The following is a 27,280-nucleotide window of genomic DNA, read 5'->3' on the forward strand; positions in this document are numbered from 1 at the left end:
ATTGTAAAGTTAGTGCTGCATCTTCAGTGTCTGATTAATTGCTGTACAACTTTTCTGCAAATGCCAATTTTTCTTTTCCTTTTTTTCTATTTATAAGAATTGCTGTCCTATTTATTCTCTGTTCCGTACACTCTAGTACTTCTATCATAGGTTTGATATTATCAATTTTATATGTATAGTTGAAGCCTTCTTATCTGATGCAATTGAGATTGTTAATTGAAAAAGACAGTCAAACTGCTTCAAACATTTTATTTTAAACGAAAGCATAAATGTGCATTTGTTTGTAAATGTTTAAAAATACTCCTGTAGCAATTTGGGAGGCCAAGGCAGGAGGATTGCTTGAGCCCAGGAGTTCAAGACCAGCCTAGGCAACATAGGGAGACCCTGTCTGTACAAAACATTTTTAGGTGTGGTGGTGCACACCTGTCATCCCAGCTACTCAGGAGACAGGTGGGAGGAGTGCTTGAATGCAAAAAAAGAAAGAAAGAAATACAGTTAAGGTGGGTTTACTGACTTGATTGAAGCATTTTCTTTTAAAAGCATACCCATAATGCACCACCCATTAGATTATTAGAGTTTCCCCAAATCTTTCACAAATTCAAAGGCATTTTCTTATTATTAAATTTTTAATTTTTGTGGGAACATAGTAGGTGTATATATTTATGGGGTATATGAGATGTTTTGATTCAGGCATGCAAGGCAGAATAATCACATCGTGGAGCATGGGGAGTATCCATCCCCTCAAGCATTTATACTTTGTGTTACAAACAATCCAATTACACTCTTGTAGTTATTTTAAAATTTGCAATTAAGTTATTATTCACTATAGTCACCATGTTGTAAAATAGTAGATCTTATTCATTCTTTCTATTTTTTTGTACCCATTAACCATCCCCACCTCCCCCTGCCCAGCCCCCAACTACCATTCCCAGCCTCATGAACTCATGGTAACCTTCTTTCTACTCTCTATGTTCATGAGTTCATATTGTTTTGATCTTTAGATCCCACAAAGAACTGAGAACATATGATGTTTGTCTTTCCGTGTCAAAGGCATTTCCTTTAGCAATTCACTTTTACAAAGCATCTGCCTTAGTTGTTCTGGAAATACCAACTCTCTTTTCACATTTATTTAATTAATTTACAACTGTTTAATTAAATTACATAATTTCAATTATTGGTGCAACTAGCATAAATGGACTGAGAACAAACATAGGTGCCTTTAAGTCCACTACAACTCAGCTGATGGGAGCAGCTATGAGCAGGCAGACCAGGGAGGAGCGGATCATCCTGGGTGTTCAAGCACCTTCCTCAAAGTATTCACCATAGAATGAAGAGCACTGGGCAATTCAGTTAGTTGGATAAATGGAGGTCAATTATGAGGCCTGCTGGTGCACATTTGTGTTTCCCCGCCTTTACTGCAAGATCCAGAGCCCGTTTCAAACTGCTTAATATCACCCAAAACCAGAGCACAGAAGTTTGTGCTCAAAACGTTAGCACAAACTAAGCGTGAATCATTAGTTATTTAAATGAATTCAAAACATTTTACTGCCTTTGTAAGCCAGTTCATTTCACTAAACACAAACAAATGTTTTTAGATTTCTAAATATTTTCTAAGCACCAACAGTATACTTGATATCAGGCCTTCTAGGGGACTAGAATTCAAGCTGATAAACTGTACCAAGCTACAAGGATACAGGATGTAAACTTTTCTATCCTTTTGATCTCTGCATTAATGTGTAAAGTAATTTCCAGCACAGCTGCAGGGAAGAGATTTGGTACTAGTATCTGTGGGATCTACTGGTTTTCTGACAATGTATTTTTTATTTTCTTTTGACTTTTTTTTTTTTATCATATGATGCACAGATTCCAGCTGTGGGCTGGTCAGAGAACTTTTTGCCTTAGCAAAAGATTGTTGTCAAAGGTCTCTCCCTCTATTGCACACTTTTTAAAATTACTATTCAATAGTCAGTTTAGAAGGCTCTTCATTGTTGGAAAAAGCAAATATATTAAAAATTAAGAAGATCCTTGAAAAGCATAAAGTGAGTACTTTCAGATGAGTCTCAAATGAATACTTTCTTTGAATAAGAAAATGAGAATTCTACTAGTCTTATTTTAGCTCTGTTAACTCTTTTTCTTCAGGGTGTCATTAGAGGACAATTACATAGCCTCACAATACTTACCTTTACCTTTAAAATGACTGACTTACTTTGACAACTAGTTAAACATCCAGCATTTTCTTTTTTTTTTTTTTTTCTTTTTTTTAGACAAGAGTCCCGCTCTGTTGCCTAGGCTGGAATGCAGTGGCACAGTCTCAGATCACTGAAACTCTGCTCTCCGGGTTCAAGTGATTCTCCTGCCTCGGCCTCCCGTGTAGCTGGAATTACAGGCGTGCATCACCACACCCGGCTAATTTTTGTATTTTTACTGGAGACAGGGGTTTCACCATGTTGGCCAGGCTGGTCTCAAACTCCCAGCCTCAAGTGATCTGCCTGCCTCAGCCTCCCAAAGTGCTGGGATTACAGGCGTGAACCACCATGCCCGGCTGTGGAGCATTTTCTAATGTTCAAAACTCCACCTGTTTGTAGTCAAACTAAATTTATCAATGTCTTTTAAGCACTTCCTGTAATCAGTTAATATTTTAATAGCCCTCCTAAATTTCCATTTTATGCAGTCTCCTCAGATTATTTCCTCAACCCAAGTTGCAGCCCATTTATTCCAGCCCGATACACCAAGTATATATATATTCATTACATCTACTTCAACTGAACATGTTTGACATTTCGAAAAAGACAATTCCTTGCTTATCACTTCCTGCCATCTGTGGTTCGTTGGTGCCAACCTAGTTTTATAAGCAAGACAAAATTGAGGCAGTGAAGTCAGAAAACATTTTCTGGATTTTCTCTATTGATTTTATAAGTCAGTACATATTCAAGAGCTATTTCTGTTTCGTCATTTCTTTTTCCCTGATGATTTGTTCTTGCCCTTTTGTTTTTCTCATTAACCGCCCCCCCATTAGGGTGTTGGTAGGAGGAAGGGAAGGAGATAAAATTCAAATGAGGTCATTTAGCCAGCCACTCACTGGTTAAAGCACAGTCCCAAGAGGCCAGTTGTGTGAGCTGGATTCTCTTCACAGTCCAGTTTATTCTAGACAGATGCAACTTTGCTCCAAGGCTACAGACCCATCCCTTGCCAGATGTTTTGCACTGTGGCCCATGGTCACGAGGGGGGACCAGGTCAGTAAATAGAAATGACTCAGGAAAATCCTGCCTCATCTCAAGAAAAACAAGTGGATGTGTGGGTCATTCTTACCCCGAGAACTGCAGAGCATTTCACTTGTTAACTTCTCAGGCTAAAGGTCTGTCAGGAAACAAGGCTCTAACTACTGCTTAAAACAGGTTTTGGCAATTACTCGTTAATTTCTTTCCCCTTCATTCCCTGCAATTCATTTAAACCAAAATCAACTGTCACCTTTGGTAGAGCCCACAGGCTAAGAAAAATTTTCACTATTATAAATGGTTGAAACAAACTTAAAAAAAGCCTTTCATGACACATGAAAAAACATGAAATTCACATTTCAGTGACCATAAATGAAGTTTTATTGGAATAGCCACCCAATTTGTTTATGTATCATCTGTGGCCGCTTCTGTGAGACACGGGCAGGGCTAAGTAGTTGCAACTGAGACTATATGCCTTGCAAAGATGAAAATATTTGTGATCTGTCCTTTTACAGAAAGTTTGCTTCTCCCTGCTTTTTCTCATTCTGCACAAACATTTCTGTTATCCTTACCACCTTAAAATTCATGTGCTTTCTTCATTTCCATTTGTGTAGATTATTTTGTTGCTCTTGAAATCATAAGTCGGGAGCACTACCTCCATAAAAATGTTTTTTTCTATTTTTATAAAGCACTATGTTTTTCTCAGGATTTTCAGAAGATCATAAAAACAAATGATATATCATCTCTTCCAGATGGTTAATATAGTTTAAGCTGTGTACATATAAACTTATGATACTACTACAAGACTTTTTTTCACACTTTCTCCAGTGCTAAACTAAATGAATTTTGCTCCTGACCCCTAATTGAAATGCTATTCACTGAAAAGGGAACTAAGCCCATTTGTACTTTATTAGGAATAAATTCAAAATGCATGAGTTTGCATTACAATTATTTTCCAGAAGAATAATTTCAGGCAATTGAACATCCTTTTTGGAGAATAAAAGGAATGGTTTAAATAGCTCTGGGTGTGGCCTTCTATCCCTGAGCAGATGTTATCTGTCAGCCAGCTGCCTGGAGCTGGGAGTGTATTGCCCAAGGAGGTGGCCATGTTAGGGCCCCAGAAAGTGCAGTGCTGGCATCCCTGCAGGAGCGGGTGGAGAGCACCCAGCTGCAGAGGGTCTCAGAAATGGGGATTCTTGGCCTGTACCCTGAGATGCCCCACCCCATCCACACCACCCATAACCGTCTGTGGGGATGAGGAGGAGAAAACGAGGGGCTGGTTCTCTGAGCTGTCTCAGAAGTATAACTGGAGATGCATATATTCTGGTACAAGGAATTTATCTGGGAGATGATCTCAGGAAACAACAGTCCAGAGTCAGGAGAGTTAGACAGAAAAGGGAAGACAGACAACGAAGGGTATGTCATCAAGCACACTCAGGTGGCTTGGCTGTAATCCCACTGGGAAACTAGTAAATGGCTTTTCACACAGGCTTCAGAGTTATCCTGTCTGATGGGTGAGGTAGCTTCTGGGAATGTTAATTCTCCAGTACTTTCATGCTGCCCTGATTGGTTTCAGAGAAAAGCCTTCAAGCAAAGTGACACAGATACTGGCTATTATTAGTTGGTCAGTGGGCACTCAGGAAGTAAGGGCCCAGGGGTGTGGGTGGGGTACCAACAGCATCTGCTATAGCTGTTTTCTCCCAGTGCTACCAAGAGCCTTTTACGGGAACCCATGGCTGCTTTTAGGAGGATGGGAAGGGGAGGAGGAGACCCAGGCAGGAACCAGGCTGCTCTGCAAGCCCCTCTCTCCCACCCGCTCTGTCCCTTCTGCTGCTGGGTTCGCTAAGGGATTTAGACTTGAAAAGACAAGTTAGATGGTGCTATCTCTGCATTGTCATTGGACAAAAGGTATGGGGTGAAGCGTGGAGAGCAGGATTGAGGAGACCTTGATTCTGGTCCCACATCCACCAATGCGTAACCCTGGTAAGTTAAACAACTTTCTTAGATTTCACGTTCCTCATCTATAAAATGAGCATTGGTTAGGTCTCAAACATCTTTTCTTGATTAGACTCAACAAGCAACATATATACAACCCTCGGAAGAAGAGAAAAAAGCCACTTTTGAGTTTTCTCAGAGGAAACTAGCATTGCAAATTCACCTCCTTCCATTTCCTTCTCCCAGGAGATAGGCAGATTCCTGCTCCCCTTGGAGTCCACTGTAGCTCCATCCCTTTATCAGTATGGAGGTTGCCAACGTCTTAGCGAGGTATCAAAACACATAATGGTGCCTGGACTTTCATCTGTGCACAGGATGTGTCATGACTGGTGTTCATATTCTCTTCCCTCACTGAATGTTCTGTAAGCTGAAAGGCACCCTGCCCTGGGCATACCTGTGCTGGGATATAGAGAGGGCTAGTGTAGGAGAGAAGGTGGCATAGTATTCAATTACATAAAATGGTGTCATCCTACCTTTTCTCCCTTCAGTAGTTTAAATTAAATTGCAATTGAGCCCTAAGTGACACAGCCATAACTTACCAATATACACATCTCCAGATATCGTGTAAATGAAGCTTGTCCACCCTGGAAAGGACCAGCAACATTAACATGTTAGTGTCCATAATGCCAAAAGGAACAAAGACATATACGTATTACAAACACAAAGATAAATTTGGAGACGAAATCCTTTTTTTCCCTTTAGATAGACATTTTAAGATTTAAGTTCTGTGAACTGTTTAAAATATACACTGACACTCATTCTCTTTCTCACACACAAACACAGACATACCCCTAAACCTAAATGACTTGGTCCCAAATATTTAAGAAGCACCCAAAGTACAGTGTACAATTCACTTGGCTGTGTATCTATAGGCTACAAGCTGTATTACCAAACAAACTATTCCTTCCAGTTGTAATGTTATGATAGTAACTGCAACACTCCAGTCTGGCTTTATCTTCCATTTGTTGTGCCTCCAGTGTGTCTGAAGTGTGAAGCTGATGCTAGAAATATGCTTTTTTTTTTGAGCTGGAGAGCAGTGGTGCCATCTCAGCTCACTGCAACCTCTGCCTCCCAGATTCAAGCGATTCTCCTGCCTCAGCCTTCCTAGTAGCTGGGATTACAGGCACACGCCACCACATCTGGCTAATTTTTGTATTTATAAAATTATTTAGTAGAGATGCGGTTTCACCATGTTGGCCAGGCTGGTCTCAAACTCCTGACCTCAGGTGATCCGCCCGCCTTGACCTCCCAAAGTGCTGGGATTACAGGTGTGAGCCACCGTACCCGGCCTGCTTTTTTGTACTTAGTTGCATTCTAGTTCCAGTGCATTCTAGTTGCATTCTGGTTCCAGTGAACTCCTTCTTTTATTCTATCCTAACAGAATATGCATCAGTTCCAGGGATGCAGGAATACATAATCTTAGGGATATAAATGGGCTCCAGGATGGCCTGTGAACTCCCTGGAATTGTTCACAGTTTTTCAAGTGTGTACACTTTTCTGGAAAGAGAGTATATAGAATTCACCAGATTCCTACCATGACCCATGGGGCCAAGAAATCAAAATCACTCACAATAGGCTATTTGCACTCTCAGCACCAACACTTGATTTTCATAGATGTTTATATATTGTACCCATGGCTCAGAAGAGATGCTGTGTTTCCACTGAGAGATATGAACCTAGAAAAGGCACAGTCGAAATGGAATCATGATATCCCTCCATGTGCCTTCAGTGGAAAAGGAGATCTGGAAAGAGAATGCAGGGCACAGTTCAATGCTGGAAGGACAGAGCCCACACTGGAGTCTCTGGAGGAGTCAGCGTGATGACAGGGTAAACAAAGGCGAGTGCAGAAGGAGCAAGGAGGCCAAAATATGTTCCAAAGATATGACTGTCATGGCAGATGGCTTGAAACGTTCAACTGGATACAAAAGAAAAGCTATAACTGAGAAAACATAAATTAAGTCTCACTAAGAAAATCTGAAGGATGGCAAAACAAACACACATGAGCAAGTGCCAGAGAATATTTTCCCATCCCCCTATTTCACAGTTTTTCCTCTCTGAGATTTTACTAGAATGAGTTTAAGCTCTCTGAAAGTAATGTTACTTATTCATAGCTTACTCGTTTTTCTCCCTTTTTTTTTTTTTTTTTTTTTGAGACGGAGTCTCACTCTGTTGCCCAGGCTGGAGTGCAGTGGTGCGATCTCCGCTCACTGCAAGCTCCGCCTCCCGGGTTCACACCATTCTCCCGCCTCAGCCTCCCGAGTAGCTGGGACTACAGGCGCCCGCCACCATGCCCAGCTAATTTTTGTATTTTTAGTAGAGACGGGGTTTCACCATGTTAGCCAGGATGGTCTCGATCTCCTGACCTCGTGATCCACCCGCCTCGGCCTCCCAAAGTGCTGGGATTACAGGCGTTTTTCTCCCATCTTAACCCACTCATATTTAGTCTTCCGAGCTTTGTCTACCATCATTTACTGAACATCTACCATGGGCATGTACTTTAGAGGAAGATACAAAAATGAATAAGGCATAGCCGGGGTGTGCAAATTGTGCACCTTTGGCGGGGGGAGGTCCATGGTAGATGCTGAAAACACACACTAATAATTTACAGCCAGATCCCATGTCTTATCTGGATGGGCTGGCTCTGCTGGAGCACTTCTTTCTTTGTTTTCTAATGAATGCTGAGCTTTTCTACTTCTATTTAGCCTGACTTGTAATCATACTCTACAACCAAACCCCTTTCTTCTCTGCTTTTTCAAAAGTTTCGCCACAATTGTTTTTCTTTTTCAGAGCACCAATAGCTTCATTTTTTCTGATTATAAAAAAACACATTAATTTAAAAATATTTTAAGAATATGAAAGTGTGGGACATCTAAACTGAAAATCTTTCTGCAATCTTCATTCCTACCCTGACATAAATATTGTTAGCAATTTGGTATCTGTGTTTTCAGTTTTTTTTTTCTTTTATGCACTATAAGTTATTTCCTTAAAAACTAGAACTAACTCAGGTTGGGCACGGTCACTCACGCCTGTAATCCCAGCACTTCGGAGGGCCAAGGCGAGCAGATCACGAGGTCAAGAGTTCGAGACCAGCCTGGCCAACATGGTGAAACCCCGTCTCTACTAAGAATACAAAAATTAGCCAGGCGTGGTGGCACGTGCCTGTAATCCCAGCTACTTGGGAGGCTGAAGCAGGAAAATTGCTTGAACCTGGGAGGCAGAGGTTGCAGTGAGCCGAGATCTCGCCACAGCACTCCAGCCTGGGCGACAGAGCAAGACTCTGTCTCGGAAAAAAACAAAACAAAACAAAACAAAACAAAAAAACTAGAACTAACTCAATATTCTATTTTGGATACCTTTCCATGTCAAAACATAGAGAAGTAACTCATCCTTGGGAAAAACTGCATGCATTCCATTGTAAGGACATGTCATAATTTATACAACGAATCCTCTATTCACGGTTTAAAGGTATTAAAAAGTGGTTACCACATTTGACAAAACCTCAAAACTCTCAATAGTTCAACCAGGCTTTTATTTGAGTTCATTTTGATTGTTCTAATCTCATTTCTCCTCCACCTGCTTTGCTTCCTGTTCACCCTTCAAGCAGAAATCTAGTCCACAAATAATTGCCTAGATCTGTTTTTTTTCCTTTTTTATCTTTTTACATGATCTGGAAGGACCAAACATTTGCTTAAAGGAATGGCCTAAGTCAATTTACTAAGTGTGTTCATATATTTTTACTCCTTGTAAAAGTCTTCTGCTAGGATATAGTGTCCATCTTTGCCAGTAATAACACAACTCATGTTGCTGATTGGAAAGCACAGAGTGTTAGAGGGCATGGAATAGAAATGAAGGCAATTTACTTTTTTCTTTCTTTTTAGCATGATGCCCATCTGCACTTGCTTCTGTTAATTTGTTTAATTTCCACTAAGCTTTGTTTCTTCAGCTTGCTGCAAAAGAAAACAAATGCCAAATTTCATGAATGCTTACTATATGTTTAACAACAGCCACAGAAGAGATCTCTTGTCAGATTTTCAGGTCCTTCTCATCTTTCTTTCTTCCCTCACCTCTCCTCCCACTTTTATGTCCTGCACCAAGAATTGATGTCATCCCCCAATTTTTATTGCTTTGTCAGAGTTCACACCCTGCTACATTTTCCTTTCTCCTACAAATATGGTCTGCAAGCTACTGTCTCTTTGCAGCTGAAAAGCTCTTCCCTTCCCTTGGGCAGTGATGAATAAAATGAGCTGGGAGGGAGGTCACATTTTCGTTCTGGCCTCCTAGGACAGTTAAGTCAGCAACGCATTTTAAGTCAGACCTCCTTTAGCCAAACATTAAAAACCCAAAACTTTTAAAAAATATGTAAATCATTTTCTGTGGCAGTTGCTCTCATTTCCAGAGAGGCTCCTAATTCTTGCAAACGTCCCTAGTGAGAGCTTTCCTCAGCCTACATTCCTTGCCTTAACCCGGGTCATTTTCCTTCTGCCTCAGTCTTGGAGTTCATTATTCCAATGAACTTACAAGTATTCCTTACACCTGTATGTGCAGAAAAAATAGAAAAACACGGCCTGGTGACACACCAACACCATTAACAGAGATAAGGGCAACTGGGCTAAGGAGAGATTGCAACCCTTCACAAACTCTGGATCACATAATTGCCAGACCGCAAAGCAACCCTGGTCCCTAAGATCCTCCTCCCATACCCGCAACCTCCCCCCCGCCACCGGAAGTCCCCACATCAGCTTTGGCAGGTAACTCCTTCATCTAGGACCTCAACCCTGGCCTCCTAGGACAAGAGGCAGACCTGCCTGGTTCTTCCCTCCCGCTCCTCCTTCCACCAAATTCTTTTTAATTTTTATTTTAAAATAATTTCAGACATATCAAAAAGTTGCAAAAATACTACAGAGAATTATTGTACACCATTCACCTAGATTCCCCCAAAGCTAACATGTTAACATATATGCTTTATCATTCTTCTTGCTATAAATATATGTCATTCTTTTTTTTTCTGAACTATTTGAGAGTAATTTGCAGACATGTAGCCCCTTTACCTTGAAATAATTTTCAGTATGTATTTCCTAAAAACAAAGATATTTTCTTACAAAAGTATAGTGCACTTATGGAAATTATGAAATTAACATTGATACAATGCTACTATCTATGTACGGATATTCAAATTGTGTCAGTCATCTGAGTAATGCTTTTTATGGAAAAGGAGAAATAAATTTCTAGGCCAGGACCCAACCTGCGATCACACGCTGCACTTAGTTGTCATGTCTAATCTTCTTTCATTTGAAACAGTTCCTCAGTCTTTTTCTTTCATTAAAAGTACAGACCAGTTATTTTATAGAATGCCTCTCAGTTTGGGTTTATTTGATGTTTCTTCGTTAGACTGAATTGTTTGCTAATCCCTGTCCCTCCCAGATTTAGAGAATTTTCATTTATTTTCAATACTTTAATTTTTAATTCAGAAGAGCACAAAGGATGAAATAATGAACATATATGTTTGCCATACTTATTTCATATCTATCTTTTCTTTAAGATAAAAACCATACAGGTGAAAAAAAGTCCCCTAACTGGTTGCTGCCAATCCATTTTCTACACGCGTAAATTGCACCTTTTTAGAATCTCCACTTAAAATCCTTCAATGGCTCCCTGTTCTCCCAGGACAAGCCCAAACTTCTGACAGACAAACTCTTCTCAATATGGTCCTACATTTCTCCAGTATCATGGCCTCTCTGCCTGCCCCGCCTCCATATTTAATTCTATCCATGCAACTCTCTCTTGGGGAGTGGGGAAACAAAGCGCAGCAGCAAACCTTAAAGGAGGCTTTGTGGAGAACCACGGAAAACAAACCAACTAAGCAACCATGAAACAGCAACAAAAATGAGCACACACCATTACAGGCAGAAAGTTCCTGTTTCAACATCAGTGCATCACCCTCAGGGAGATCTAGGACCAGACTCTTCATCTCTTCAAGCCTCTTTGCTGGTTTGTAAAATAAGGAATGAATACGTATAACACAGAGCTGTTGTGATGAACACAGTCTAATGAGGAAACATCAAACATACTGTTTCTATTGTATGTCTGTATAAACATATATAAATGTCCTTATACATCTGTACATACATATGTGTGTTATATGTTTTTAATCTTCTCTACACAATGCCAGGCACTTAGGAGGTATTTAACAAATATCAGTTCATTTTCCTGCCCCTTTCTTCTTTTTCCACTTTCCTTCAAATCTGTGCATGTGGAGACGTTACACAATTCTGATGAGGCTGTGACCCAGGCCAGAGAAGGGTCATTGCTATGGAGATGGCCCTAAGCTCCCTGCTGCACCCACCTCACACCAAGCCAATTAGTCTCTTCGACTGCGGAGCAAAGCTCAGCAGGGTCATCATTTCCCAAAAGAAGTCTACATTTTTGCGACGTCTCCCAAAACGTCCTCATCAAGAACCTCATGGCATTAAGGATGCTGTCTGTGTCCCACCAAACACTGCAGACTAGAATTGGTGACATAAGTTGGGTTGTCTGATCATACAGCAAGTAACAGCTCACCGTAAGATCTACTAGCTTGCCAAGAATAGGCATTTAACCCCCATCTTATAACTGAATATAAACAGCAAGATAAAGAAATGTCAACTTTGTAACTCCACAATCTGAGAGATAGGTTATTACCTGAACTTGTGAGAATTCCATTGGAAAAAAATGAGAATGCCCGTTTTACCAAATTTGATGAGTGACACCAATAATAAAATGCCAAACTATATAACAAAATGGTATACACATCAAAACACTTGAGACAGTTAGTTTTCCAGAATAAAATAGACTCAGAATGCACTTTATACATTACAGAACGATCATACTACAGGCTGTTTATAAGCCATGGGCATATAACATTAAGAGCCATCCCTCAGGATCCCATATTTTAAGTAAGCACAATTGCAGCCTATAGGAGAACCCTGTCTTATGGTTTGGTCCACATTCATAATACTGAACACTCATTGCATCAGAAGCTAACAGGAAAGCTAAGAAATAAATGAAATTTAACATTTTGAATGAGAAATATATAAGCAATATAAGCTCTCTAGAATGTAAACTCAGAATACAGCCTTCTGCATGCCCAGAATGAAGCCTAGCCCGCTGGAGGGCAAACCCTGCTGATTATTTTCTTGCTAATACAATAGTACTACAAATGTATTAGAATGCCCTAGAAGCTTATTAGAATGCCCTAGAAGCTTATCCTGTTCTTTAAAAAAAGTTTAAAATCGACACATAATAATTGTATCCTGCTCTTTAGAGACTAAGTGCACAATGATGCATTGAGGTTTTCTCATCAAGACATTTAATAAAGTTTTTAACTAAAGTAATATATGCTACTACTATTTCTTGGTTTTATTTGAACAGAACTTGTCTCCTCTTCAGACACACAGTATTCACAACTGATTTTTAATTGCTCAGAAAAAAAATCAGAAAATAATTCAAATAATGTAGACATAATCATAAAATTCTATTTTAGCACTCTAAAACAGAAACTAGTTTAGGCATTCGAACTTAGATTGAAGCCACGTTTATAGACTATTAAGATCTGAAATATACAGAACTTTAAGGATTAAATACATGTTCAAAAAATAATAGAAACCTGAAATTAGCAGGGAAAGTCATAAATAACCCTAAGATTACTTCAGGATGTATTTGGACACCTAACTGTTTTTAAGAGAAAGAGGCCTTTTTTCAAAATTACAGACAGAGTCTCACTTTGTTGCCTAGGCTTGTCTCGAACTCCTGGCCTCAGTCCCCCAAAGTGTGTGGATTACAAGTGTGAGCCACCATGCCCAGCCTGAGAAAAATATTTTTTAAAAGCCCCTGTAAAATATGAAAAAAAATACACCCCTGCCAAAATTGAAACATATTTAAATTCTTAGAATAGGTTTTTAGTTTACATTGATCATCAATTTAACCTGTTTTCTCCTAAAGGTGACATAACAGAAAAACACAACACAATGAGATGATATTACTCATTTAAAATTTTCAAGAATAGTCGTTTTTCTAACCTATGTACAAAATCTTGGATTTATTTACCAATATGCCCAAGACACTACTAATAGAGTACTGTTCACTAAAGGTCCATGTTTTTGTTTGGTGCAGGACAAGATGGCAGTTAAGAGTCCTAGCAGAAACTCAGTCCCATTACTCACTAACTAATTGATATTGAGTAAGTTACTTAATCTCTTTGTACCTCAGTTTCCTCATCTGAAAAATGAGGTAATCATAATCCTTACCTCACAGGGTCGTGAGGATTACAGGTGTTAATTCTTAGGATAGGGAAGGTTCTTAGAGCAGTTTCTGGCAAAGAGTAGGCATTTAATAAATGTTAGCTATAATGATTGTTATTACTATATGATGATTCAGTGAACTGTGAACCCCTTAAAATGTTCATGGCATTCTCCATCATGGATTTTTGCCATTTTTTCCTCTGTTTCAAACCATGTTTTAAAAAATGTAATTGTATCTTACCATACATGAAAACCAATTTCATCAAAGGATACAAAATTTCAGTTAAATAGTAGAAATAAGTTCAAGAGATCTATTGTACAACATGGTGACTACAGTTAATAACAATGTATTGTATTCTTGAAAAATGCTAAGAGAGGGAATATAAAGTGTTCTTATCACAAAAATGATAACTATGTGAGGTAATGTATGTTAATTAGTTAAATTCAGTCATTCCACAGTGTATAAATACTTCAAAACATCAAGTTGTACAAGATAAATACGTACAATTTTATCAGTCAATTTAAAAAACAATTAAAAAAACCATTCCAGGTGAAATAAATGTATCAATATGAAAGGCAAAACAACAAAGCACTTATAGTAGAGAGTACATTTTTATGATCTTGAGTTAGGGAAAGATGATTAAAGAAGCCACAGAAAGCACTAATCATTAAGGAGCCAATTGATACATTTAAGGCATTTTTACTTATTAAAATAGAGAAACATAGTATAGAAAGGTTAAAAAAAAAAGCAGGAAAGACATTTGCAACACAAATAACTGACAATGACTAGTATTCAGAATATATAAAGAGCTCTTACAAATCAATATGAAAAAGACAACCCAGTCAAAGGAAAATGATGTTAAACTTCTTCCTGAATAATTTGATATTTCAGGCTCTGATTCACGTTAATCACTGTTCTGAAGACCTATAGATTTACATCCATAACTGTTATGTATATATTCTAAGTATGAAGGGAACTGTGATTGAATAGTCTAATGTACTGCTGGGAAGTAGAGAGCTCTGCAAAAAAATTACTCATGAATTAAATCGGCTTTTGCGTTCTATGAAAAGACTCAAAATGTAAAATTCTACATGAATCATTCATGTTTGGGGCATTCTCCTTAAAAGTAGAGAAAGACTATGAAAAAACAGGCAAGAAGCCTGTGGAAAAAATCACTACGCATTTTTCGAGGTTTACTCCAGTCATTTTTAAAAGTCACAAATGAGAGAGAGAAAAAAAATCACTACTTGTTTTCGAGTCATTGACCATATGGAAAAATGTGTGGTACTTTCAACCAAGATCATAAGTGTGGAGGTCGACTCTAAGACGTCTGCCTGATCCTGCCTCCCGTATTGCCCTATATAATTCCCTCTCTCTGAGTATGGGCTGTGGCTAGAGTCTTGCGTCTAACCAGTAGAATATAGCAAAACTGATGCAATGTCACTTCTGAGATTAGGTTACATAAAGTCTCTGGCTTCCAACTTGCTCATCTTTGTGCCTTCTGATGAAGTCAGAGGCCATGTTGTGAGTTGCCCTATATAGAGCCCCATGTGGCCAAAAACAAGAGAGCAGACTCTAGCCAGCAACCCTTGAGGAACTGAATGCTGCCAGCAACCACATGAGTGTGAGCTTGGAAGCACATCCTTCCCAGTCAAGCCTTGAGATGACCACAGTCCCAGATGACACTTTATTTATTTATTTTTTTCTGAGACAGAGTCTAGCTCTGCCACCCAGGCTGGAGTGAAGTGGGTGATCTTGGCTCACTGCAACCTCCACCTCCCAGGTTCAAGCAATTCTCATGCCTCAGCCAATCCCCGCCCCCCTCCACCCCCAGTAGCTGGGACTATAGGCCCGCACGACCATGCCTGGCTAATTTTTGTATTTTTAGTAGAGATGGGGTTTTGCCATGTTGGCCAGACTGGTCACAAACTTTTGGCCTTGAGTGATCTGCCCACCTCAGCCTACCAAAGTATTAAGATTACAGGTGTGAGCCGCAGCGCCAGCTCCGGCTGACACTTTGATCGTGGCCTTGTAACAGTACACAGCTAAGTTGAGAGACATTGCAAGACAATACATGTTGTTCTAAGGCACAAAGTTTTGGGGGTAATTTGTTATGCAGCATATAGATAATTAATACAATAAGATTTATTTAAATGTATACTAATGTGACTTACCAAGTAGCTACTGTATGTATGGCATTAAAATCTACTTTTTAATCAAGGAAGATGTAGCTCCTTTCCTTTTTTTTCCCCATAAACACAGAAGCAAAAATATATTGGTGTATCAGTTTCCTATTGCTGCTATAACAAATTACTCTAAAACTTAGTGCTTTAAAGTAACAAAAATTTTTATCTTACAGTTCTTGAGGTCAGAAGCCCCAAAATGAGCCTCATAGGTCTAAAATCAAGCAGGACTGTATTCTTCCTGGAGGCTGTAGGGGGACATTTGTTTTCTTGCCTTTTTCAACTTCTAGAGGTTGCCACTAATCCTTGGCTTGTGGGCCCTTCCATTTTCAAAACCAGTAATCACATCACTCTGACCTCTGCTTCTATTGTCACATGTCCTTCTCTCACTCTGACTCCCTGTCTCCCTGTTTCTCTTATTTAGATTCTCATTTATGACACAGGGTCCACCTGCATCATCCAGGCTAATCTCCCTATCTCAGCAGCATTAACTTAGTCACATCTGCAAAGTCGTTTTTGCCATGGAACATAACATATACACAGATTCTGGAAACTGGGACGTGGACATCTTTGGGGGGACATTATTTTGCCTACCACAGAGGGGTAGACTATATGGTTTCTAAATAAATTTTGTTTATTGATCTACATATACTGTAAAGGAAAAGTTATAAGGTGAGGAAAAGCAAAAAGGTTCATAAAATCAAGTTTTTTCCATAACAGCTCTCCATTTTTAACATTCCAGATCCTGCCTTTAAGTATCTAGAGGCAAAGGTGCTGTAAAAGGAAATGAGGAAAATAAACAGAGTGGCTGTTGAGGGCCAAACTGTGATACAGTCAGTCAGAAGACAAGGGGGACATGAGGACAAGAAGGCACATGTTTCTTGGAAAAGACTGATATTTTCCTAGAAATATAGATTTATGTCCTTCATAATTAATGGTAACAAACAGTGTTATCTGTAAATCAGTTTACAGCAAAAGGAAAGTCAGATTGCCTTGCGCCTTGCAAGAAATGGTAAAAGTCACCATTAAAAAACTACTTACTCTTATTTTAGCCAAGATCTAATATAAAAAACGTGTGGCCAATGTGAAAGGAATCTGGTACTGTCAGAAACTCGACAAATTAGATTCTTTGTAAGTGATGCACCGTCCAGCTCAATTCCTGATATCAACTGCCTTCCAAATCATCACTGCATGAAACATCTGTTTTCTGCAAGATTAGCACAACCCAAGAGAAACGTGCCTAGCCTGAAGGAAATAAAGAGATGGTAAAAATCGATTCAAATAGTATTCATGGGAAGGAACTCAGATAAAACCTAGTCTGATTCATGAGAAACGTTTTCAGTCTCCCTTAACTGGATTTCCCTTGGAATATATGCATTTTCCCAGTATCAGGGAGAGGATGGTAGCAGTGTATGCTTCTATTGCTATCCAATTAGTCTGTTAATGATAAAACCAAGTCAACATTAAATTAGTTAGACTGCAAAGCTTATGCCAAAAGCCAAACATAATCCAGACATCCATGTCAAATCCCTTTACCATGAGTAACAAAACAATCAAAACATTATAAACGAAACATGTCCAGGACCCAGCCAATGGCCTACACATTTCACGAAATATTTGATACAACAAAGCACCCAAATAAAAAGAATCTAGACAGTCCTTGGAGTTTATGATGGAATTTGACCTGGAAAGGTGGAAAAAAAAAAAAGACAAATGGTGACCTTGATTTGAATTACTTCATAATAAACTTTATACAGCATAATTTTACCATCCAGTATGTCTGATGACAGGCAGCCAGGACTATCAAAGCTGCAAATAATGAGTGCTTTATAATACTTGAATTAATTGTTAGGCACTAAACAGAGAAGCCTCAAACTTTGTATTTGTCACCTAATGCAGTGGAAGCATGGATAAGTCTGTGTGTGTGTGTGTGTGTGTGTGTGTGTGTGTGTGTGTGTGTGTAAGACAGAGAGAGAGATAGGGGAGGGAGAGAGAGAGAGAGATACAGACAGACAGACTGAGAAAGAGAGAACACTATAACTAAAAGTGATGTATTGGAAAAGAAAGGATCTTTTGCTTCATAGCTGGGTTCATAACGCACTTGTTTAAAGTGGGTTTACAGACGCTCAATGCTAAATGTGCAATTCTAAGCTATTTCCTGTTGTATCCCTATAAAAATGTTTTTGAGGCCGGGTGTGGTAGTTCATGCCTGTAATCCCAGCACTTTGGGAGGCCGAGGTGGATGGATTACCTGAGGTCAGGAGTTTGAGACCAGCCTGGCCAACATGGTGAAACCCCATCTCAACTAAAAATACAAAAATTAGTTGGGCGTGGTGGTGGGTGCCTGTAATCCCAGCTACTCAGGAGGCTGAGGCAGGAGAATCGCTTGAACCCGGGAGGCAGAGGTTGCAGTGAGCCGAGATCATGCCATTGCACTCCAGCCTGGGCGACAAGAGCTAAACTCCGTGTCAAAAAAAAAAAAGTGTTTGAGGCTGGGCGCAGTGGCTCACACCTGTAATCCCAACTTTGGGAGGCCGAGGTGGGCGGATCACCTGAGGTCAGGAGTTCAAGACCAGCCTGGGCAACATGGTCAAACCCCGTCGCTACTAAAAATACAAAAATTAGCCAGGCATGGTGGCATGCGCCTGTAGTCTCAGGTACTCGGGAGGCTGAGGCAGGAGAATCACTTGAACCTGGGAGGCAGAGGTTGCAGTGAGCCGCGATCACACCACTGCACTTCAGCCTGGGCGACAGAGCAAGACTTCATCTCAAAACAACAACAACGACAACAACAACAACAACAAAACATGATTGAAAACAAATCTCAGGTTTAAAATTCATGATGACAAAATAAAATGCAAATACAGCTTTGGAAACTGACAGATATACGTTCTCTCTCAGGAGGCAATATAAGGTGATGTCTGAGAGCAGAGCAAAAATGAACATGAACCATACACTTCCTGCTAGTGGGATTGTGGAGAAACTGGTATTCTATATGCTGCTAATAGAAAGTGTGACTGCCTCTTTGGATTGCAACCTGACAATGTCTTTTAAAACTAAGCATGCATAGATCTGGTGACCATCCCTGGAAACCTGTCTCATCAAAATAAATTTCCACATGGGAAGGCAGATACACAAGGTATTCATTGCAGACCAGTTTGCTGTAGCCAAGCACTAGGAACAAAGTGAATTCCCATTGATAGAAAATAGCTAAATACATCATAGTATGTATTTAGATGATGTAGAATATCACTGTTAAAAGGAGCCACCATTAATGATGAGTGCCTGTAGTCCTAGCTACTTGGGAGGCTGGGGTGGGAAGATCTCTTGGGCACAGGAGTTCGAGGTTGCAGTGAGCTATAATTGTGCCACTTTACTCCAGCCTGGGTGACACAGAGAAACCCTGTCTCTTAAACAAAACAAAACAAAAGGAGCTATATAAGTAAACTGGGAAGGATTTCCATGAGTATTTTTCAGTCAAATAAATAGGACGTAAAAGAGTAGTTATGATTCCATTTTATTAAAATGACAAAATAACCTGATATTTGCATATATGTGAATGCACATATATGTCAGTGTATAAAAATAAGTGTGGAGAAAAATACAGCAAGATATAATTCAAGGATATATCTGTGATCTATATAGTGAGGGTACTGGACATAGATAAGGGAGGACAAGGGATTGGAGGAAAGCAACTCAAAAGTTTAAAGATAAAAGCACTGCACTAAAAGGTTAAAGCACACATACACTTAATGTTATAAAAATCACGGATAGTGAAGGCTTATGTTTAAGCAAATTAATCTAAAATTTTTCTGTACTTAAATAGCCAGAATGGAATCCAAAATTAGTAGAAGGAAAGAAATAATCAAGATCAGAGTAGAAGTAAATGAAATTGAGACAAAAAAATACAGAAGATCAATGAAGTGACAAGTTGGTTTTTTGAAAAGATAAATAAAATTGACAAACCTTTAGCTGGACTAAGAATAAATGAGAGAAGACCCAAATAAATAAAATCAGAAATGAAAAAGAAGACACAATAACTGAGACCATAGAAATACAAAGAATCATTAGAGACTATTATGAACAACTATATGCCAAGAAATTGGAAAACCCAGAAAAAATTGATAAATTCCTGGATACATACAACCTACCAAGATTGAACCATGAAGAAATAGAAAACTTCAACAAAGCAATAACTAGTAATGAGATAGAAGCCATAATAAGTCTCCCATAAAAAAAAAAAAAGCCCAAGATCTGATGGCCTCACTGCTGAATTCTACCAAACATTTAAAGACAAATTAATACCAATCCTACTGAAACTCTTCAAAGAGACTGAAGAGGAGGGAGTACTTCCAAATTTATCCTATGAGGCCAGCATTACCCTGATACCAAAACCAGACAAGAACGCAACAAAAAAAGAAAACCACAAGTCAATATTGCTGATGAACATAGATGCAAAAACTCTCAACAAAATACTAGCAAACTGAATTCAACAGCACCTTAAAATGATTGTTCACCATGATCAAGTGTGATTCATCCCAAGGATGCAAAGATGTTTCAACATTCAACATACACAAATCAATAAATGTGACACATCACATTAACAGAATCAAGAAGAAAAAACATCATTATTTCAATAGATGCTGAAAAAGCATTCAATAAAATTCAACATCTCTTTATGACAAAAACCTTTAACAAACTGGGTATAGAATGAACGTACCTCAAAATAATAAAGGCCTTATTATGACAAACCCACAGCTATCACCATATTGAATGGGAAAAAATTGAAAGAATTCAGTTGAAAAACTGAATTCTTCTGAGATCTGGAACAAGAAAAAGATGCCCATTTTAACCACTTTTATTCAACATAATACTGGAAGTCTTGGCCAGAGCAACTAGGCAAGAGAAAAAAAAAAAACAAAGGGCATTCAAATAAGAAAGGAAGAAGTCAAACTAGTCTTGTTCACAGATTACATCATCTTACACTAAGAAAAACTTAAAGACTCCACCAAAAAAAACCTATTAAGACTAATAAACAAATTTGGTAAAGTTGCAGGATACAAAATCAACATACAAAAATTAGTAGCATTTATATACACCAAGAGTGAACAATCTGAAAAAAATATCAAGAAAGCAATCCTATTTACAATGGTTACAAAAAAAGATTATAAAATACCTGGGAATCAACTTAACCAAAGAATTGAAAAATCTATACAAGGAAAACTATAAAACACTGATGATAGAAATTGAAAAGGACACAAAAAAAATTGAAAGCTATTCTGTGCTCATGGATTGGAAGAATTAATATCATTAAAATGACAATACTACCCAAAGCAATGTACAGATTCAATGCAATCCCTACCAAAATGCCAATCTCATTCACAGAAATGAATCCTAAAACTTATATGGAACCATGAAAGACCCCAAATAGCCAAAGCAATCCTGAGCAAAATGAACAAAGCTGGAGGCATCACACTGCCTGACTTCAAATTATACTACAGAGCTATAGTAATCAAATCAGCATGGTATTGGCATAAAAACAGACACATGGATCAATGGAACTCATTTTTGACAAAGGTGCTAAGAACATACACTGAGGAATAGACAGTCTTTTCAATAAATGGTGCTGGGAAAACTGGATATTCATATGCTGAAGAATGAAATTAGACCCCTATCTCTTGCCATAAACAAAAATCAAATCAAAATGAATTAAAGACTTAAATTTAAGACCTCAAAATATGAAACTACTACAAGTAAACATTGGGGAAAATCTCCAGGACATTGGACTGGACAAAGATATTTTGTGTAAGACCTCAAAAGCACAAGCAACCAAAGCAAAAATAGACAAATGATATTATATCAAGCTCAAAAGCTTCTGCACAGCAAAGGAAACAATCAATAACATGAGGCTGGGTGCGGTGGCTCACGCCTGTAATCCCAGCACTTTGGGAGGCCGAGGCAGGCAGATCACTTGAGGCCAGGAGTTCAAGACCAGCCTGGCCAACATGGTTAAACCACATCTCTACTAAAAATACAAAAATTAGCCAGGCGTGGTGGCACACACCTGTAATCCCAGGTACTTGGAAAGCTGAGGCAGGAGAATTGCTTCAGCCCAGGAGGTGGAGGTTGCAGTGAGCAGAGGTCACACCACTGTACTCCAGCCTGGGTGACAGAGCAAGACTCTGTCTTAAAAAAAAAAATAGTGAAGAGACAACCCACAGAATGGGAGAAAATATCTGCAAACTACCTATCTGACAAGGGATGAATAACCAGAATATATAAGGAGCTCAACAATTCAATAGCAAAAAGAAATCCAATTTAAAAATGGGCAAAAGCTCAGAATAGACATTTCTCAAAAGAAGACATACAAATGGGCAATAGGTGTATGAACAAAATGCTCAACATTACTAATCACCAGAGAAATGCAAACCAAAACCACAACGAGACATCATCTCACCCCAGTTAAAATGGCTGTTATCAAAAAGGGAATAACACATGCTGGTGAGGATGTGGAGAAAGGGGAACCCTTGTATACAGTCAGTGAGAATGTAAATTAGTACAACCATTATGGAAAGCAGTATGAAGGTTCCTCAAAAAACTAAACATAGAACTACCATATAATCCAGCAATTCAACTACTGGGTACCTATTTAAAAGAAAGAAATCAATATATCAAAGAAATACCTACACTCCCATGTTTATTGCAGCATTATTCACAATGTACAAAACGTAGAATCAACCTAAGTGCCCAGTAATAGATGAATGAAGAAAATGTGATATAAATATACAATGAAATATTATTCAGCCATAAAAAGAATGAAATCCTGTCATCTGCAGCAACCTGGAGAGGACATTCAGTTAAATAAGCCAGGCACAGAAAGACAAATATTGCACGTTCTCACTCTTACATGGGAGTAAAAAAGTGGATCTCATAAAGATCTCATGAAGACTGGTGGTTACCAGAAGACATGAAGGGTAGGGGTCTGGGAGGGATAAAGAGAGATTGATTAATGAGTACAAATATACAATTTAATAGAAGAAATAAGATCTGGTGTTTGATAGATCAGTAGGACGACTATTGTTTACAACAATCTTTGTATATTTCCAAACAGCTAGAAAAGAATAATTCAAATGTTTCTAGCATAAAGAAAAGACCAATATTTAAGGTGATGAATATCCTAATTATACTGACTTGATCTTTACAAATTATATGAACGTATTAAATTGTCACATGTGCCCTGAAAATATGTACATCTATTGTGTTAATTAAAAAAATTATTTAAAAATAGACCAGACACAATGGCTCATGCCTGAAATCCCAGTGCTTTGGGAGGCCAAGGCAGGAGGATCAACTTAAGGCCAGGAATCTGAGACCAGCCTGGGCAACGTGGTGAAACCTCCATCTCTACAAAAGAATTAAAAAATTAGCTGGGCATAGTGGCACACATCTGTAGGCTCAGTTACTTGGGAGGCTGAGGCAAGAGGATCACTTAAGCCCAGGAGTTCAAGGCTGCAGTGAGCTATGATCATGCCACTGCACTTTAGCCTGGGTAACAGAGTGAGACCCCACGTCTACAGAAAAAAACAATTATAAAAATTAGCCAGAATTAAAAAAAAAAAAGAACAAAATAGGCCTTAAATACTTGGGAATTTTTAATTATTCTTTGGATTCAAATGTCAATCTAAAGGTAACCTTTACATAACAACACCTATATCAAGCAAAACCTGTATCTCAATCAAGTATGCACTTGTGTATAAGTAACACAGGTCCGAATTTGCCTTCAGGAACACTGTGAGTCAATAGGAGCTGGAAAGTCAGGAGACAGGGGTGTTTTCCTTGCCCTACCTCATCCAGTAAGTGTTTGGGTGGCCTTGAGCAAGTGACCCATCTTTTAGGCCTTCCACACCTGTAAATTGAGTGGTATGGCCCACAAGGTCTGGCCCTAACATTCTGTGAGTTCTTTCTGATTTTCTTTTCTTTCTTTCTTTTTTTTTTTTTTTTTTGAGATGGAGTCTCGCTGTGTCTCCCAGGTTGGAGTGCAGTGGTGCGATCTCGGCTCACTGCAACCTCCGCCTCCCGGGTTCAAGTGATTCTCCTGCCTCAGCCTCCCAAGTAGCTGGGACTACAGGCGTGCGCCACCACGCCCAGCTAGTTTTTGTATTTTTAGTAGAGACGGGGTTTCACAATGTTGGCCAGGATGGTCTTGATCTCCTGACCTCGTGATCCACCCGCCTCGACTTCCCAAAGTGGTGGGATTACTGGCGTGAGCCACCGTGCCCGGCCTCTTCCTGATTTTCTTAACTTGGAAGGTCCCAGCAGTATTTGTCAATTTAAACACAATTAAACATAAACAAGAGTTCTTAGAACTTTGTGCTGAGTTTCAGAAACAAGCACATTCCAGGCAAAACAGCCTCTTGTTGGTTTTTTCTTTTCTTTTTTTTTTCCTGACGTGACTACTAAACCCCAGAACCCATCATACCTTTAGGGATAGGTTGGGAATGTTTGGCTCCTGGGTCCAATTTGAAGTCCAAATATAAGGTTGGTGTGCGAGTGTAAACCTTGGACTGAAAAGGAAAAGGAAACCATCAGTGTTTTTTTCTAAGAATAAGGTTCTTCTTTCCTTCAGCTGGCCCTTCTGTAATAGGCCTGGACCTGGATCCATTATATATATAGTTCCTCCTAGGGAAGTGTTAAAGCCGAGGTGGGCTGCTAAAACAGCCCCTCTTAAAGGTCTTGGTCTGGAAGTTAGCCCTCCTAGCTTTACAATGTGGTTGACAAGCTAATTTCAGGATGACAGCTGTCTCCCTACAGCCAGTTCTCAAATATAGTCCAATAGTAACATTTTACTGGCCAATAATTGCTCCAACTTTCCCACCTCCAGTCTTCCACTTGATATGGCAGGTTATCTCACAACCAAATGTATGTTTCTTCCCCATGTCTCAAGAAAGCCATTTCCATTTTGGAATTTAAAAATGCGGCCTGCACATATTTTTTATTTTTTCTTACTTGGCCCTCTGGCTAACAAAAATGGTCCGACACTGCTCGCTTGAAAAAGCCACAACTCCAAATGTAAGAAAGGCAAACTTTTGCAGGATTTTCCATTATAAACAGTAACTTTTATTCCATCAAGAGTTAAGCAGAGTTTCTAATTTAATATAATACCATCCTGAATCATTGGCATAGACTAAAATTCAAGGGATTAGAACTGTTGCTACAAACTTTATGATGTCTCATTGTTTATCACAAAGCTCCAGTGGTTCCAGTCTACTTTATAAACTTAAAATGCATATGAAAATGAAAAAGCACATAACCTTAAGCTTGGCACGGATGTGTAGTAACTGTAATTTTCATACACTGCTGGTGGGACTATAACTTGGTATAAACACTTTGGGAAGCTGCTTGGCCATGTGTAGCACAGACGAATATATGCATAATCTATGACCCAATATTCCAACTCATAGGTGTATACCTAACAGTCACCTAAAGACAGGCACAAGTACCTTAATAGTGACAGAACTGATAATAGCCCCAAACTGGAAATCATCCAAATGTCTTTAATAATAGAATGGATAAATGAAATGTAATATACAGTGGAATACTATACACCAAGGAGAATGAATGAACTCAACTACATGCAACAACTCAGGTGAATTTCACAGGCATAATATTGAGCAAATGAAGACAGACACAGAAGATCATACACCGTATGATTCCATTTCTACAAAGTTCAAAACAAGCCAAAATTAATTTATGATGTCAGAAGTCACAAAATTAGTTATCTTGGGAAGGTTAGCAAGTAGAAAAGGATTTTAAAGGGGCTTCTGGGGGCTGGTAATGTTCTGTTTCTTAACCTGGCTGCTGCTTTTATGAGTGTGTTTACTTGGTAAACATTCTTTGAGCTGTATACTTGATCTGTGTACTTCTCTGTGTATATGTTATATGTTAATTAAAAGATTACATTCATTAAATACATGCATTTTTAGACAAAAAGAGAGAATCTGGAGCCCAGAATTATTTACTCTCCTTGATGAAGGCATAATTTTGTGGAGAATAATGATGCAAGCTCCATGAGGACATGAACATTTCTGCCTTTGTTACTACTGAATTCTCAGGGCCAACCCACTATGTCTGTCAAATGCTAGGTGTTCAATAAATATTTATTGAATGATGTTTCATAATGGAAAACTCCATGTATAGTAATACAGTTATTGACAGTAGATATATGTATATATGAAGATATATATGAATATATGTACTGACAGTACATACACACACACACACACACACACACACATATATATACCGTCAATAACTGTATTACTATTCCATATACTGTCAATAACCGTATTACTATACATGGGATTTTATATACATATATACATACATATATACACACACAAGTGTGTGTGTGTGCATATGTGTGTGTATGTATACATATATATATATATGGGGTATTCATCAACATCTTCACCTACATGTAGCAAAATGCTTCTCTTCAGGACAGGTGAATTTGGTATGGTCAAAATATATTGTCTGTACATTAAATTTTGAAATAAAGAATCGTGAGTAATCTTGACTATCAAAAGATTTTTTTCCTTTCCTCTGAATGTCTCCAATTGAAGCTTTGGGGTTTAAAATGCTCTGGTAGACTTTTGCATGGCTTAGAAGGTCAAGCTGCATTAATACAGCTTCAAAGACTAGAAAAGCAAATTCCCCCGTGTATATATAAATGAAACCAGAAAGACCTGTGACATCAAGTGCAACCTGAGGCCAAAGATTCACAATCAATCAGAGAGCTTGAAACACACATAAAAGAAGGGCAGCACACAAGGGGCACAGGATCTGATTCTCTAGGATCATTAGGTGTATAAGACACCATCTGGAAAGGGGCTGGTTTTGTCTGATGAGGACTTCTAAAATTACCTCTAAAAAGATTAAGGGTAAACTTCATATAATATCGAATGACTCCTCTGTTCAGGCAATATTTCGCTGTCCTTCAGATAAAGATCCCTGTTTGGTTTAAGCATCTTTTTCAACCTCTGCCTCAGTGGCAGATGCAGTATCCCTTCCAACAGAGAAGAAATGCATCACAAAGAGGTTCTTGCTTTAATTTTTGCTAGCACTCTCCCAGAATGTGGCCATAAAAATAATCTTGAACTGGAAGTCAGGAGTCTTTCATGCTGTATTGCTTTTTCTTTTCTTCTTTCTTTACCTTTCTTTCTTTCTCTCTGTCTCTCTCTCTCTTTCTTTTTTAAATTTTCTTGTAGAGATGGGATTTCGCCATGTTGCCCAGGCTGGTTTCGGACTCCTGGGCTCAAGCCATCTGCCCGCCTCGGCTTCCCAAAGTGCTGGGATTATAGGTGTGAGCCACCGTGCCCAGCTAGAGGTATTGCTTTTTCTGCTGACCAACGAAACACTTATCTTCTTCTGGGTTAATTCGCTCATCTGAAAATTTTGTGAGGGTACTTGCTGTTGTTTAAGTCTATTTCTGGTTCTGAAATTCTGATTCAGAAAAGTAATGTTTTCCTCCACACTCTAATTTTTAAAATTCTCTTCCAATTTCTCAGACTAGAGCTAAAGAGAAGTGAGAATGTGGCTGGGGTGAGGGAG

At 38.8% G+C, this 27,280-nt stretch overlaps 1 protein-coding gene and 1 long non-coding RNA gene across 3 annotated transcripts in view; both read right to left on the bottom strand.

Annotated features, from left to right (window-relative positions):
- Positions 1-27,280, bottom strand: part of PIR-FIGF (PIR-FIGF readthrough) — a 145,719-nt gene that overhangs the window by 56,166 nt on the left and 62,273 nt on the right. The window contains exons 5-7 of the long non-coding RNA NR_037859.2: positions 24,150-24,234; positions 5,750-5,794; positions 5,374-5,626 (exon numbers count right to left, since the gene is read on the bottom strand). This is a non-coding gene — a long non-coding RNA (PIR-FIGF readthrough). The remainder of the gene's footprint in view (positions 1-5,373; positions 5,627-5,749; positions 5,795-24,149; positions 24,235-27,280) is intronic.
- Positions 1-27,280, bottom strand: part of PIR (pirin) — a 108,535-nt gene that overhangs the window by 16,958 nt on the left and 64,297 nt on the right. For both annotated transcript variants that reach the window (NM_001018109.3, NM_003662.4), the window contains exons 6-7: positions 24,150-24,234; positions 5,750-5,794 (exon numbers count right to left, since the gene is read on the bottom strand). In NM_001018109.3, coding sequence (NP_001018119.1) covers positions 5,750-5,794; positions 24,150-24,234 — 130 coding nt within the window. The remainder of the gene's footprint in view (positions 1-5,749; positions 5,795-24,149; positions 24,235-27,280) is intronic.

Source organism: Homo sapiens, chromosome X, assembly GCF_000001405.40.
Source record: "Homo sapiens chromosome X, GRCh38.p14 Primary Assembly".
NCBI lineage: Eukaryota > Metazoa > Chordata > Mammalia > Primates > Hominidae > Homo > Homo sapiens.